General features: G+C 39.7%; 1 pseudogene; it reads right to left on the bottom strand.

Moving 5' to 3' along the window:
- Positions 12,035 to 14,668, bottom strand: SIAH1P1 (siah E3 ubiquitin protein ligase 1 pseudogene 1; annotated as a pseudogene).

Genomic DNA, 15,572 nt, shown 5'->3' with positions numbered 1-15,572 from the left:
AAAAGAAATCTATAAGTGGTTGTAAGCTCCACTTACACACCCTGTTTGTGCAGTACTTCCAATGTTGGGTGACAGTTCTCAACTACCGTCATTATCCTGCTGAGAAATACTTCCCTGGGAATGGTGAGTACAGTCTCTGAAGCATACAGTGATTTGTAGCAGGATTATTGAGGTGTAATTGACATATGTTAAATCGCTCATATTTAAAGTATAAAATGTGAGACGTGTTAACATTTGTATAGCCTCATGCAACTATCAAAACAGTCTAAATCAAAGCAACCACTCTGGAAATTTTCCTTGTGTTCATTTGTAAACCTTTCCCTTTCTGCTTCCTTCATGCCAATCTACCATTTCCTTAGGCAACGAAATATCTGTTTTCTATCACTAGAGTATACACTTTCTAGAATTTTATATAAATGAAAACATACAGTGTGTACTCTCTTTGGTCTAGCTTCTTTTATTTGACATAATTATTTTGAGATTCATTCACATGTGTCAATAGTTCATTTCTTTTATTGCTGAGTAGAATTCTATGGTATCAGTATAACAAAATTTGTTTAGTGATCTGCCTGTTGACAGACATTGGGGTGTTTCCAACTTTTATAAATTACAAATAAAGCTGCTATGTACATATGGTTATGAACATACAAATCTCTGTACAGATATATGCTTTCATATCTTTTGGGTAAAATCCTATGGATGGTATATGTATGTTTAACTGTTAAGGAAACTGCCTGGCAATTTTCCAAAGCGGTTCTATTTTTCATTCCTACCAACAGTGTATGGGAATCCAGCTCCTCTACATCCTTGGAAATAGTGTGGTTAGTCATTTTAATTTCAACCATTTTAATAAGCGTCTAGTACTACTACATTGTAATCTGCATTTTCTTAATGAATAATGATGTTGAATACCTTTTAATGTGATTGTTATTCACAGAGATATTTTGGTAAAATGTCTACTCAACTATTTTTCCCAGCTTTAACTGAGGTTTTGTTTTCTTATTGTTGAGTTTTGATATTTCTTTATATGTTTAAGATAAAATTTATTTATTTGATCTATGTTTTGCAAATATTTTCTCTCAGCTCAGGGCTTGTTATTTCATGGTCTTAACTGTGTTTTTTTGAAGAGAACTTTTACATTTTGATGAATTCCAATTTATCTTTTTCTCTTCTATGGATCAGGAAGAGCATGTAGTTTTAATAGGGACCTGAACTAACACTGCTTTGACATTTTGCTGCAGAAAAAAAAAAAAAACCCATGCATTTGTTCCTAAAACTAAAACATTACTGTTTTCTATAACACAATTCTGAATCCTGTAGATTTTAATAATCATCTTTTGTTATACATGGTATCTCTGTTATGCTCATTTTATGTTAACAATGTGGTATAGAAAGAACAACGAGTACAACCAACATATTTTAAAAAAATAAAAAAAGAAGGAAGAAGAAAATTAACTTACAAAGCTAGAATTATGGCTGCCAATCTTAGGTACTTAGATCCTGGGATTCTAGATAGCCATGAACCTCATGTGCTTCCAAGGATGTTGAAAAGACCCCATGAGATTCTATCCTTGCGAGAAAGCCAAATTAGATGAATTTAGTTTTGGTTTATTAGTTGGTTTTAACTATAGGATGCTTAATAAACACGACCCTTAGGAAATAAAATATGTAGCATACAAGTTTTGTTCAGGGGTGGTAAAAATACCCCAAAGACATACTTTCAAGATTACCCTATTTTGGGGAGAAATTATAAACCTAAAACTGGTGGGGGATGATTGTTGTATTATGCACAGTAAAGGCAGATGTAACCTACCAATACACTAGATTATACTATCACTGTTCACTATCAGCCATACAATTTCCTTCTCTTCACATTATTTTTGATCCCCTATTGGAGGGTAGATAAAGTGTAAGAAAGTGATTTAGACATAAGGTTAAAATATAGATAAAAGGAGATGAAGAGAGAAAAGAAGGAAGAAAGTAGGAAAATGGTAAGAGTAGGAGTATTAGAGGAGGCTTAGGAGGATCCTTCAGGCTTTCATCTTTAGTCTCACTACTCAGAGTTTACAGAGTAGTATGATATTAGAGAAACAAAACTTTATTAAAATTCATTTGATCCTGTGTAATATAACGTGTATAGACCAAATACTTATCATCAGCAACAACAAAAACTTCTCTACAGAATTAACCTGCTTCCATGAAATTGACAAGTTGATGAAATCGAAGTCACACAGAGATTTTTCTTAACAGTACTCCTCCTTAGTGATAGGGAGAGGAGAAGCATGAAGCCAGTGGAGGAAGCAGGGTGGGTGTGAGGGGACCAAGTGCAATAATAGCAAAGACTGTCAGATTTTCCTGTTCCCAAGGAAACTGGCTTTTGAAGGTTTTCTAAAAGATAAAGTAGTTTAGGTGACCAATGAGCACCCTTTGAATTATTTTGCTATTTTTACCATTAAAATCCTATGTATTCTGCAGCAGATTTGGTGATATTTGCACATGACTTAATATGTCCTTTTTAATATTCTATGCCAGGGGAAGGTATACGCCTTGGCCACTTAGTAACTGCATGATTTGGGCTGTTAGCCAAAGCTTCTCTAAGCCTCAGATTGCTCAGCTTTAAAATGGGTCTAATGAGTACCTCATATGTTCATTGCAGGTGTAAACTAAGAGGGTGAATGGGAAGTATTTAGCATATGCTTAGCACAGGACAAACATTCAGTAAATATTTTAAAAATTGTATTTAATAGAAAAATGACTATTGTAAAATTATGTTTCTCAGCCTTAAACTTGTGTCTTTATATGTAGATTTTAAGGAATAGGAGAAAAGAAGAGAAAAACAATCTCTAACTTAAAAAAATGATTTGTTTACTAGGGAATTTTTTTTCCTGGTTTCAAAAATATGTATGTTTTTAAAAAAATAAACTACTTTAAAAAGTGTTTAGCAGAAAAATACTTCATTTGTCAAAATAAAATCTCGTGCTACTGAAAATCTTAATAGCTACATTTACTATTCCTATTAGATTTTTCCCCAACACTCTCTTTAGATAGACTAAAAATCTCCTTTAATTAAAGAAGAGATTTACATTCTCTTATTACAATTATTCTGTTACACAGAAGCCTTTTTCAAATCATTCCAGAATTTTTCCATGACTCTGAAAAACTTAAGCACCCTAGCCAAGTTTTTATTTATTTCCGTTTCCTTTTGAGTAAGATTCCCATGGTCTGAGTAGTGGAATACAGGGATTAAAGTAATCACATTTACACTCCTGTGAAAAAACATTACTGATAATTTTTCAGGAACATTGTTTTCTTCTTATAATCATTACCACAACATTTGGTTTGAGGTTCATTGCAGACAGGTTTCCGGGTTTGTTGTTATTCTTTGTAATAATTGTACAAGAAGCAGACTACCTGCCTCTTTCATAATACTTAATAACCAATAAAGATCCAATTAAAAGAGCAATTGTTTAGAAATAAAATTAAAATGACATTGCCAAGAAAAAGGTTTTTCATTGGAAAAAAATTATGTAGAAATTAGTGGCATAGTTCGAACATATATTGTTTAGAACCTTTTTGTTTTACTAAAATATAAGCTGCTAAATATAATTGCTTCCATAACTATGGAAGCTCTTTATTCATTTATTTTTTAAAGATAAATGCCTAATTTCTCATTTAGATTTACAATATATGGTCTTGTTATACTCATCTAGGGCTTTTTAAGTGTTCTACAAATGCTTATCCAATTTCTATTTCTTAGGGATGATAAAAATGCAATACCGGAGTGGCTGGCAAGATGGCCGAATAGGAACAGCTCTGGTCTGCAGCTCCCAGTGAGATCAACGCAGAAGGCAGGTGATTTCTGCATTTCCAACTGAGGTTCCCAGCTCATCTCATTGGGACTGGTTAGACAGTGGGTGCAGCCCATGGAGGGTGAGCCAAAGCAGGGTGGGGTGTCGCATCACCTGGGAAGCACAAGGGGTGGGGGAACTCCCTCCCCTAGCCAAGGGAAGCTGTGAGGGACTGTGCAGTGAGGAATGCTGCATTCCGGCCCAGATACTATGCTTTTCCCACGGTCTTTGCAACCCACAGACCAGGAGATTCCCTCAGGAACCTACACCACCAGAGCCCTGGGTTTCAAGCACAAAACTGGGCGGCCATTTGGGCAGACATGGAGCTAGCTGCAGGAGTTTTTTTTCATACCCCAGTGGTGCCTGGAATGCCAGTGAGACAGAACCGTTCACTCCCCTGGAAAGGGGGCTGAAACCAGGGACTCAAGTGGTCTAGTTCAGTGGATTCCACCCCCACAGAGCCCAGCAAGTTAAGATCCACTGGCTTGAAATTCTTGCTGCCAGCACAGCAGTCTGAAGTCGACCTGGGACGCTCAAGCTTGGTGCGGGGAGGGGCGTCTGCCATTACTGAGGCTTGAGTAGGTGGTTTTTCCCTCAAAGTGTGAACAAAGCCACCGGGAAGTTTGAACTGGGTGGAGCCCACCGCAGCTTGGCAAAGCCAGTGTAGCCAGACTGCCTCTCTAGATTCCTCCTCTCTGAGCAGGGCATCTCTGAAAGAAAGTCAGGGGCTTATAGATAAAACTCCCATCTCCCTGGGACACAGCAAGCGGGAGAAGGGGCGGCTGTGGGCACAGCTTCAGTGGACTTAAAGGTTCCTGCCTGCTGGTTCTGAAGACAGCAACGGATCTCCCAGCGCAGCACTCGAGCTCTGCTAAGGGACAGACTGCCTCCTCAAGTGGGACCCTGACCCTCATGCCTCCTGACTGGGAGACACCTCCTAGCAGGGGTCGACAGACACCTCATACAGGAAAGCTCCGGCTGGCATCTGGTAGGCGCCCCTCTGGGATAAAGCTTCCAGAGGAAGGAATAGGCAGCAGTCTTTGCTGTTCTGCAGCCTCCACTGATGATACCCAGGCAAACAGGCTTTGGAGTGGACCTCCAGCAAACTCCAGCAGACCTGCAGCAGAGAGGCCTGACTGTTAGAAGGAAAACTAACAAACACAAAGGAATAGGGGCAACATCAACAAAAAGGATGTCCATACAAACCCCATCCAAAAGTCACCAGCATCAAAGACCAAAGATAGATAAATCCACAAAGATAAGGAAAAACCAGAGCAAAAAGGCTGAAAATTCTGAAAACCAGAATACCTCTTCTCCTCCAAAGGATCACAACTCCTTGCCAGCAAGGGAACAAAACTGGACAGAGAATGAGTTTGATAAATTGACAGAAGTAGGCTTCAGAAGGTGGGTAATAATAAATTCCTCTGAACTAAAGGAGCATGTTCTAACCCAATACAAGGAAGCTAAGAACCTTGAAAAAAGGTTAGAGGAATTGCTAACTAGAATAACCAGTTTAGAGAAGGACATAAATGACCCGATGGAACTGAAAAACACAGCACAAGAACTTTGTGAAGCTTACACAAGTATCAATAGCCTAATCAATCAAGTGGAAGGATGTCAGAGATTGAAGATCAACTTAATGGAATAAAGTGTGAAGACAAGATTAGATAAAAAAGAATGAAAAGGAACAAACAAGCCTCCAAGAAATATGGGACAATGAGAAAAGACCAAACCTACGTTTGATTGGTGTACCTGAAAGTGACGGGGAGAATGGAACCAAGTTGGAAAACACTCTGCAGGATATTATCCAGGAGAACTTCCCAACCTAGCAAGACAGGCCAACATTCAAATTCAGGAAATCCAGAGAACACCACAAAGATAGTCCTCGAGAAGAGCAACCCCAAGACACATAATCGTCAGATTCACCAAGGTTGAAATGAAGGAAAAATGTTAAGGGCAGCCAGAAAGAAAGGTCGGGTTACCCACAAAGGGAAGCCCATCAGACTAACAGCGGATCTCTGCAGAAACCATACAAGCCAGAAGAGAGTGGGGGCCAATATTCAACACTCTTAGAGAAAATAATTTCCAACCCAGAATTTCATATCCAGCCAAACTAAGCTTCATAAGCGAAGGAGAAATAAAATCATTTACAGACAAGCAAATGTTGAGAGATTTTGCCACCACCAGGCCTCCCTTACAAGACCTCCTGAAGGAAGCACTAAATATGGAAAGGAAAAACCGGTACAAGCCACTGTAAAAACATACCAAATTGTATGAAGAAACTGCATCAACTAATGGGCAAAATAACTGGCTAGCATCATAATGACAGGATCAAATTTATGCATAACAATATTAAATGTAAGTGGGCTAACTACCCCAATTAAAAGACACAGACTGGCAAATTGGATAGAGTCAAGACCCATCAGTGTGCTATATTCAGGAGAACCATCTCACGTGCAAAGACACACATAGGCTCAAAATAAAGGGATGGACAAATATTTACCAAGCAAATGGAGAGCAAAAAAAGAGCAGGGGTTGCAATCCTAGTCTCTGATAAAGCAGACTTTAAACCAACAAAGATCAAAAAAGACAAAGAAGGGCATTACATAATGATAAAGGGATCAATGCAACAAGAAGAGCTAACTATCCTAAATATATATGCACCCAATACAGGAACACCCAGATTCGTAAAGCAAGTTCTTAGAGACCTACAAAGAGACTTAGACTCCCATACAATAACAGTGGGAGATTTTAACACCCCACTGTCAATATTAAACAGATCAATGAGACAGAAAATTAACAAGTATATTCAGAACTTGAACTCAGCTCTGGACCTAGAGGACCTAATAGACATTTACAGAACTCTCCACCCCAAATCAATAGAATATACATTCTACTCAGCACCCTGTCCCACTTATTCTAAAATTGAACACGTAATTGGAAGTAAAACACTACTCAGCAAATGCAAAAGAACGGAAATCATAACAGTCTCTCAGACCACAGTGCAATCTAACTAGAACTCAGGATTAAGAAACTCACTAAAAACCACACAACTACCTGGAAACTGAACAACCTGCTCCTGAATAACTACTGGGTAAATAACAAAATTAAGGCAGAAATAAATAAATTCTTTGAAACCGATGAGAACAAAGACACAACATACCAGAATCTCTGGGACACAGCTAAAGCAGTGTTTAGAGGGAAATTGATAGCACTAAATGCCCACAGAAAAAAGTGGGAAAGATCTAAAATCGACATCCTAACATCACAATTAAAAGAACTAGAGAAGCAAGAGCAAACACATTCAAAAGCTAGCAGAAGACAAGAAATAACTAAGATCAGAGCAGAACTGAAGGAGATAGGGACACAAAAAACATTTCAAAAAAATCAATGAATCCAGCAGCTGTTTTTTTGAAAAGATTAATAAAATAGATAGACTGCTAGCCAGACTAACAAAGAAGTAAAGAGAGAATAATCAAATAGGCACAATAAAAAATGATATAGGGGATATCACCACTGATCCCACAGAAATACAAACTACCATCAGAGAATATTATAAACACCTCTATGCAAATAACCTAGAAAATATAGAAGAAATGGACAAATTCCTAGACACATACACCCTCCCAAGGCTGAACTCGGAAGAAGTCGAATTCCTGAATAGACCAATAACAAGTTCTGAAATTGAGGCAGTAATTCATAGCCTGCGAACCAAAAAAAGCCCAGGATCAGATGAATTCACAGCTGAATTCTACCAGAGGTACAAAGAGGAGCTGGTACCATTCCTTCTGAAACAATTCCAAACAATAGAAAAAGAGGGACTCCTCCCTAACTCATTTTATGAGGCCAGCATCATCCTGATACCAAAACCTGGCAGAGACACAACAAAAAAAGAAAATTTCAGGCCAATATCCCTGATGAATATCAATGTGAAAATCCTCAATAAAATACTGGCAAACCGAATCCAGCAGCACAGCAAAAAGCTTATCCACTACGATCAAGTCAGCTTCATCCCTGGGATGCAAGGCTAGTTCAACATATGCAAATCAATAAATGTAATCCATGACATTAACAGAACCAATTACAAAAACCATATTATTATCTCAATAGATGCAGGAAAGGCCTTTGGATTTTATCAAATCCCACCACTTCATGCTATAAACTCTTAATAAACTAGGTATTGATGGAACGTATCTCAAAATAATAAGAGCTGTTTATGACAAACCCACAGCCAGTATCATACTGAATGGGCAAAAGCTGGAAGCATTCCCTTTGAAAACTGGCACAAGACAAGGATACTCTCTCTCACCACTCGTATTCAAGACAGTATTGGAAGTTCTGGCCAGGGCAATCAGGCAAGAGAAAGAAATAAAGGGTATTCGAATAGGAAGAGAGGAAGTCAAATCATCTCTGTTTGCAGATGACATGATTCTATACTTAGAAAACCCCATCGTCTCAGCCCAAAATATCCTTAAGCTAATAAGCAACTTCAGCAAAGTCTCAGGATAAAAAACCAATGTGCAAAAATCACAAGCATTCCTATACACGAATAATAGACAGAGAGCCAAATCATGAATGAACTCCCATTCACAATTGCTACAAACAGAATAAAATACCTAGGAATACAACTTACAAGGGATGTGAAGGACCTCTTCAAGGAGAATTATAAACCACTGCTCAAGGAAATAAGGGAGGACACAAACAAATGGAAAAATATTCCATGCTTATGGATAGGAAGGACCAGTATCATGGAACTGGCCATACTGCCCAAAGTAATTTATAGATTCAATGCTATCCCCATCAATCTACCATTGACTTTCTTCAGAGAATTAGAATAAACTACTTTAAATTTCATATGGAACCAAAAAAGAGCCCTTATAGCCAAGACAATACTAAGCAAAAAGAACAAAGCTGGAGGCATCACACTACCTGACTTCAAACTAAACTACAAGGCTACAGTAACCAAAAGAGCATGGTACTGATACCAAAACAGATATATAGACCAATGGAACAGAACAGATGCCTCAGAAATAATGCCGCACATCTACAACCATCTGACCTTTGACAAACCTGACAAAAACAAGCAATGGGGAAAGGATTCCCTATTTAATAAACGGTGTTGGGAAAACTGGCCAGCCATATGCAGAAAACTGAAACTGGACCCCTTCCTTACACCTTATAGAAAAATTAACTCAAGATGCATTAAAGACTTAAGCATAAGACTTAAAACCATAAAAACCCTAGAAGAAGCCCTAGGCAATACCATTGAGGACACAGGCATGGGCAAAGACTTCATGACTAAAACACAAAAAGCAATGGCAACAAAAGCCAAAATTGACAAATGGGATCTAATTAAACTAAAGAGCTTCCGCAAAAGAAACTATCATCAGAGTGAACAGGCAACCTACAGAATGGGAGAAAATTTTTGCAATCTATCCATCTGACAAAGGGCTAATATCCAGAATCTACAAGGAACTTAAACAAATTTACAAGAAAAAAACAAACAAACAATCTCATCAAAAAGTGGGCAAAGGATAAGAACAGGCACTTCTCAAAAGAAGATACTTATGTGGCCAATAAGCATATGAGAAGACGCTCATCATCACTGGTCATTAGAGAAATGCAAATCAAAACCACAACAAGATACCATTTTGCACCAGTTAGAATGGCGATCATTAAAAAGTCAGGAAACAACAGATGCTGGAGAGGATATAGAGAAATAGGAATGCATTTACACTGTTGGTGGGAGTGTAAATTAGTTCAACCATTGTGGAAGACAGTGTGGTGATTCCTCAAGGATCTAGAACCAGAAATACCATTTGACCCAGCAATCCCATTACTGGGTATATACCCAAAGGACTATAAATCATTCTACTATAAAGACACATGCACACGTATGTTTATTGCAGCCCTATTCACAAGAACAAAGACTTGGAACCAATCCAAATGCCCATCAATGACAGACTGGATAAAGAAAATGTGGCACATATACACCATGGAATACTGTGCAGCCATAAAAAAGGTTGAGTTCATGTCCTTCGCAGGGACATGTATGAAGCTGGAAGCCATTGTTCTCAGCAAAATAACAGGAACAGAAAACCAAACACCGCATGTTCTCACTCATAAATGGGAGTTGAACAATGAGAACATGGACACAGGGAAGGGAACATCACACAGCAGGGCCTGTCGGTGGGTGGGGGCCTAGGGGAGGGAAAGCATTAGGAAAAATACCTAATGTAGATGATGGGTTGATGGGTGCAGCAAATCAGCATGGCACATGTATACCTATGTAACAAAACTGCACATTCTGCACATGTATCCCAGAACTTAAAGTATAATAAAATAAAAAAAAATGCAATACCAATTAAACAGGTGAGTTGGAGAAAGGAACCAATGACTAATTATATGCTAGATATAAAACTGACTAGAATTAAAAGAAAATGGAAGATATGCACTTTTAATTCTTGCAAGCATGTCATAGTATTTGAATTAGTGATTAGGCTTCCTTATTATAAAGTCCACAAATCTTGTGTGACATGTGTAGGTTTATCCAAATATTGCTTTTCTCTAACTGGTTTGTAACTTTTTTAAGTTATGAAAGTAAATAATCACGTATCACTTAAATTTTTAAAAAAAACAAATTATACTGTGATACAACTTACCAGCTACAAGACTTTGGTTATGAATCTCTCACCTAAAGATGAATGCTCCAAGTCTCAGTTTCTTTGTTAGGATTGTCCAAATGAGGGTTTTGTTTTTTTCCCGAGCTGCATTACTTACAAATTGTACCTCTCATTTACCACTTTTCATGCCTTTCCCTGCATTGGTGCTTTTCTTTTTAAAATGTGTACTTTATACACTGTTTTTTCATCAACTTTTATTTTAAGTTCTGGGGCACATATGCAGGATGTGCAGGTTTGTTACATAGGTAAACATGTGCCATGGTGGTTTGCTGCACAGATCATCCTGCCACCTGGGTATTAAGTCCAGTATCCATTAGCTATTCTTCCTGATGCTCTCCCTTCTCCCACCTCCCTAACAGGCCCCAGTGTGTGTTGTTCCCCCCAGGTGTCCATGTGCTCTCATCGTTCAGCTTCCACTTATGGAATATGCTGTGTTTGGTTTTCTGTTCCTGCATTAGTTTGCTGAGGATAATGGCTTCCAGCTCCATCCCTGTCCCTGCAATGGATATGATCTCATTCCTTTTTATGGCTGCATATTCCCTGTTCAATAAATGGTGCTGAGAGAACTGGCTAGTCATATGCAGAAAACTGAAACTGGACCCCTTCCTTTCACCTTATACAAAAATTAACTCAAGATGGATTAAAGACTTAACTGCAAAACCCAAAATGATAAAAACCCTAGAAGAAAATCTAGGCAATACCATTCAGGACATAGGCATGGACAAAGATTTCATGATAAAAGCACCAAAAGCAATTAACAACAAAAGCCAAAATTGACAAATGGGATCTAATTAATCTAAAGAGCTTCCGCACAGCAAAAGAAACTATCATCAGCGTGAACAGACAACCTACAGAATGAGAGGAAATTTTTGCAATCTACCCATCTGACAGAGGTCTAATATCCAGCATCTGTAAGAAACGTAAACAAATTTAGAAGAAAAAAAAACCCCATTAAAAAGTGGGCAAAGGACAACATGAACAGACACTTCTCAAAAGACATTCATGCAGCCAACAAGCATATGAAAAAAAAGCTCAACATCACTGATCATTAGAGAAATGCAAATCAAAACCACAATGAGATACCATCTCACACCAGTCAGAATGGCAATTATTGAAAAGTCAAGAAACAGATCCTGACCAGGTTGTGGAGAAAAAGGAATGCTTTTACAATGTTGGTGTGAATGCAAATTAGTTCAACCATTGTGGAAGACAGTGTGGCGATTCCTCAAAGATCTAGAAGCAGAAATACCATTTGACCCAGCAATCCTATTACTGGATATATACCCAAAGGAATATATATCATTCTATTATAAAGATACATGTATGTATATGTTCATTGCAGCACTATTCACAATAGCAAAGACATGGAATGAGTTCAAATGCCCATCAATGATAGACTGGATAAATAAAATGTGTATTTTATACACTTCTTAAAGACGAGTCCAGCATTGCTGCTAGAGCCGTTTACTGAGCCAAGCTACAACATTTATTCTCTTTACTTTCTTTTTTAATTTGCCATATATTCTTTTAATGAGAATTATGAAAGACCAAAACAGTTTTTGCAAAGTGCCTTTTTAAACAAATGATTTGCTTTTAATTAAGTTCTGTGCATGACAATGCCTTTACAATCAATAAACACAAGAACAAATTTTAAACGTAATTTGTCCAAGATACTTGTAAAAGGAATGATTTTCAGTATTTGTAAACATCTATTTATTCTCTAAGCTTTCAAAAATTAATCTCAAAGATATGACTCATCTGTAGAAGAGAGAAAGATGGGAAGACCATCTTATAGATGTTTTAAATAGCTTTTGGTAATTTTTCCGATGTCACCTTTACTTTCTGGAACTCCTATCTTCACAAAACAGCTGATTTTAAAATATTTCTGGCTGGGCATGGTGGCTCACACCTGTAATCCCAGTACTTTAGGAAGCCGAGGAGGGTGGACTACCTGAGATCAGGAGTTCAAGACCAGCCTGACCAATATGGTGAAACCCCGTCTTTACTAAAAATACAAAAATTAGCCAGGTGTGGTAGCGGGCGCCTGTAGTCCCAGCTACTTGGGATGCTGAGACAGGAGAATTGCTTGAACCCAGCCAGGAGGCGGAGGTTGCAGTGAGCCAAAATCTCGCCACTGCACTCCAGCCTGGGCGACAGAGTCTCTGTCCAAAAAAAAAAAAAAATTTCCAATGAACCAATTAATGGGGGAAAAGAGAACATGTATGGAACACATGTTATAAATTTTACCATAAACAATTATGCATATCAGAAGACACTAACTTTAAAACGGTACAAAACAGTGAGATGCAACCTGAATTACAGAACAGAAAGTCAAATCTATTTAATGAAAAACTAGAAGAAAAAACTAGCAAATACACACAAAAAAAACCCCACATAGTAGCACTACGTATTGACTCACAAAGCGGAAAAGCAGTGGTCCATGACCACTCAAAATGGCTTGTCAGTTAAAGGAAAAAAAAAAAAAAAAAACAGCCGAGCTCGGTGGCTCACGCCTGTAATCCTAGCACTTTGGGAGGCCGAGGTGGGCGGATCACTAGGTCAGGAGATCCAGACCATCCTGGCTAACATGGTGAGGTGATGGGTGCCTGTAGTCCCAGCTACTCGGGAGGCTGAGGCAGGAGAATGGTGTGACCCCAGAAGGCGGAGTTTGCAGTGAGCCGAGATCGCGCCACTGCACTCCAGCCTGGGCGACAGAGCTAGACTCCGTCTCAAAAAAAAAAAAAAAAAAAAAAAAAAAGAAAAAAGAAAAAAAAAAACCAAAACACACACACACATACACACACACTCACAGACCCAAAAACAAAACAAAACAAAACATTATTTTTCAACAATACAATCAATCTACAACACAAAATTCAAAATTATTTTATAATGCTTTCTTAATGCAAAATATGCTCATCTTTATATATACTAATGTTACTACACACAACTGTTTCCTGTATTCAACAGTCTTTCTTTTTATCTCTATTTGTTGAGCTTATACTTGTGAAGAGTTTCAGGTTGGCAGGCAGATGGGTGGCTTATTTTCTGTGAAATTAAACAGTTTTAAACACTGGCTAGAAAATGTTCCACTGCCATTTCAACGCTTACTAATAACTACATTGATGCTTAAATCGTCATTTTCTGCAAAAAGCAGCGCAGTGTTGGCGTCAAAGATTAAGCAGTCTCTATTCTTAATGGCTTTTGCTATGTCCTCATGAATAGGTAGAGGAGTCGCTTCCCAAGTCAGTCGTCGCCGATTACCCTTTAGCTCAAGTTGGTAAGCAAAATTTTCAGCTTCCTTGCTTGCTCCCAGCAGCTGTACGACTGCGAAGAACTGCTGGCCGCCATTGTGATCTTCCTGTTTCTGCAAGACTAACATGAAGCGAACGCCAAAACAGGACTGTATCATCACCCAATCGTAAGCGCCAACAAGATTAATGCTGGTAGCAAGGAAAATTATATCCTCTCCCTCTATTGTTGTAATGTACTCATGCATTTTAGTCAGATGAGGCATTATAGCATCCATGGTGCCTTGCCATTTACAGACAGTACCAGGGCACGGGCAGGAATAAAGCCTAAACTCACAGACTTCTTCGTGATCTGCTTTTTCTGTGTGTGGCAGAGTGATTTCACATCCCAAACAGGCATATCTACACGGGAAAAGTACAAACTTAGCCACTTTCTCCATAGCCAAGTTGCGAATCAATCCCAAGGGGCCGCGGCAAGTTGGACAAGATGTGAGCTTTGAGTGACAGCTTCTACAAACAAGATGGCCTCTCTCACACTGAAGAATTGGTGGTAACGCATAGTCTAAGCAGACCGGACACTGGAAGATACTTGCCAAGTCATTGTTGGATACAGTCCTGTCAGAACGGGCAGGCGCCTTATTGCGTGGCGACGAGGTATCTAATGCAGCAGTCTGTTCACTCATTTCTGCAGGCGGAGAGCTCTCCTCAGACCCCGGTTCCGTCACGAACGTATTCTGTCGCCAGTCACTCCAAGAATGCCACCGCGGACAGCACCACTGCCTGCCTCTTGCTGGTGATGAAACAAACGGGACACCCTGGGCCTCCTCAGTCGCACTGTAGAACGCCCCTAGCAAGGGCCGCCATGCTCCCCACCAGCCGCCATCGCCTCGTGAGTCCTCAAGCCCGCGTCCCACCGGCAGGTGTCATCTCGCGAGTCCTCAAGCCTGGCTCCCCATTGGCCGCAGTCATCTCGCGAGTCCTCAAGCCCAGCTCCTCAATGGCCACCGTCATCTCGCGAGTTCTCGAGCCCGTCTCCCCACGGGTTGCCGTCATCTTGTGAGTCCTCGAGCGTGCTGTGTATTACTTTTTTTTTGGGGGGGGGGGTTTGAGATGGGGTTTCGTTCTTGTCACCCAGGCTGGAGTGCAATGGCGACATCTTGGCTCACTGCAACCTCCGCCTCCCGGGTTCAAGTGATTGTTTACCTCAGCCTCCTGAGTGCTGGGATTACAGGCACTGCCACCATGCCCAGCTAATTCTTGTATTTTTAGTAGGGAGGGGGTTTCACCATGTTGGCCAGAATGGTCTCAATCTCTTGACTTCGTGATCCGCCCCTCTTGGCCTCCCAAAGTGCTGGGATTACAGGCGTGAGGCACTGCGCTGGGCCACTTTTTTTTTTTTTTTTTTTTTTGGTGAGATGGAGTCCCCCTCTGTGGCCCAGGCTGGAGTGCAGTGGCGCAATCTTTGCTCACTGCAACCTCCGCCTCCCGGGTTCAAGGGATTCTCCTGCTTCAGCCTCCTGAGTAGCTGGGATTACAGGCGCACGCCACCGAGCCCAGCTAATTTTTATATTTTTAGTGGAGACAGGGGGTTCACCATATTGGTCAGGCTGGTCTCGAACTCCTGACCTCGTGATCTGCTTGCCTCAGCCTCCTAAAGTACTGGGATTACAGGCGTGAGCCACCACGCCCGGCCAGTGCATTACTTTCTAATGGAAGCTATCACTATTTACAAATAAATAGCTTGAGAATTGCTTACTAAGTCCTAGAGATCAAACCAGAACTTACTGCTT

This window comes from Homo sapiens, chromosome X, assembly GCF_000001405.40.
Source record: "Homo sapiens chromosome X, GRCh38.p14 Primary Assembly".
NCBI classification, from domain to species: Eukaryota; Metazoa; Chordata; class Mammalia; order Primates; family Hominidae; genus Homo; species Homo sapiens.
This window is presented reverse-complemented; position numbering and strand designations above follow the sequence as displayed.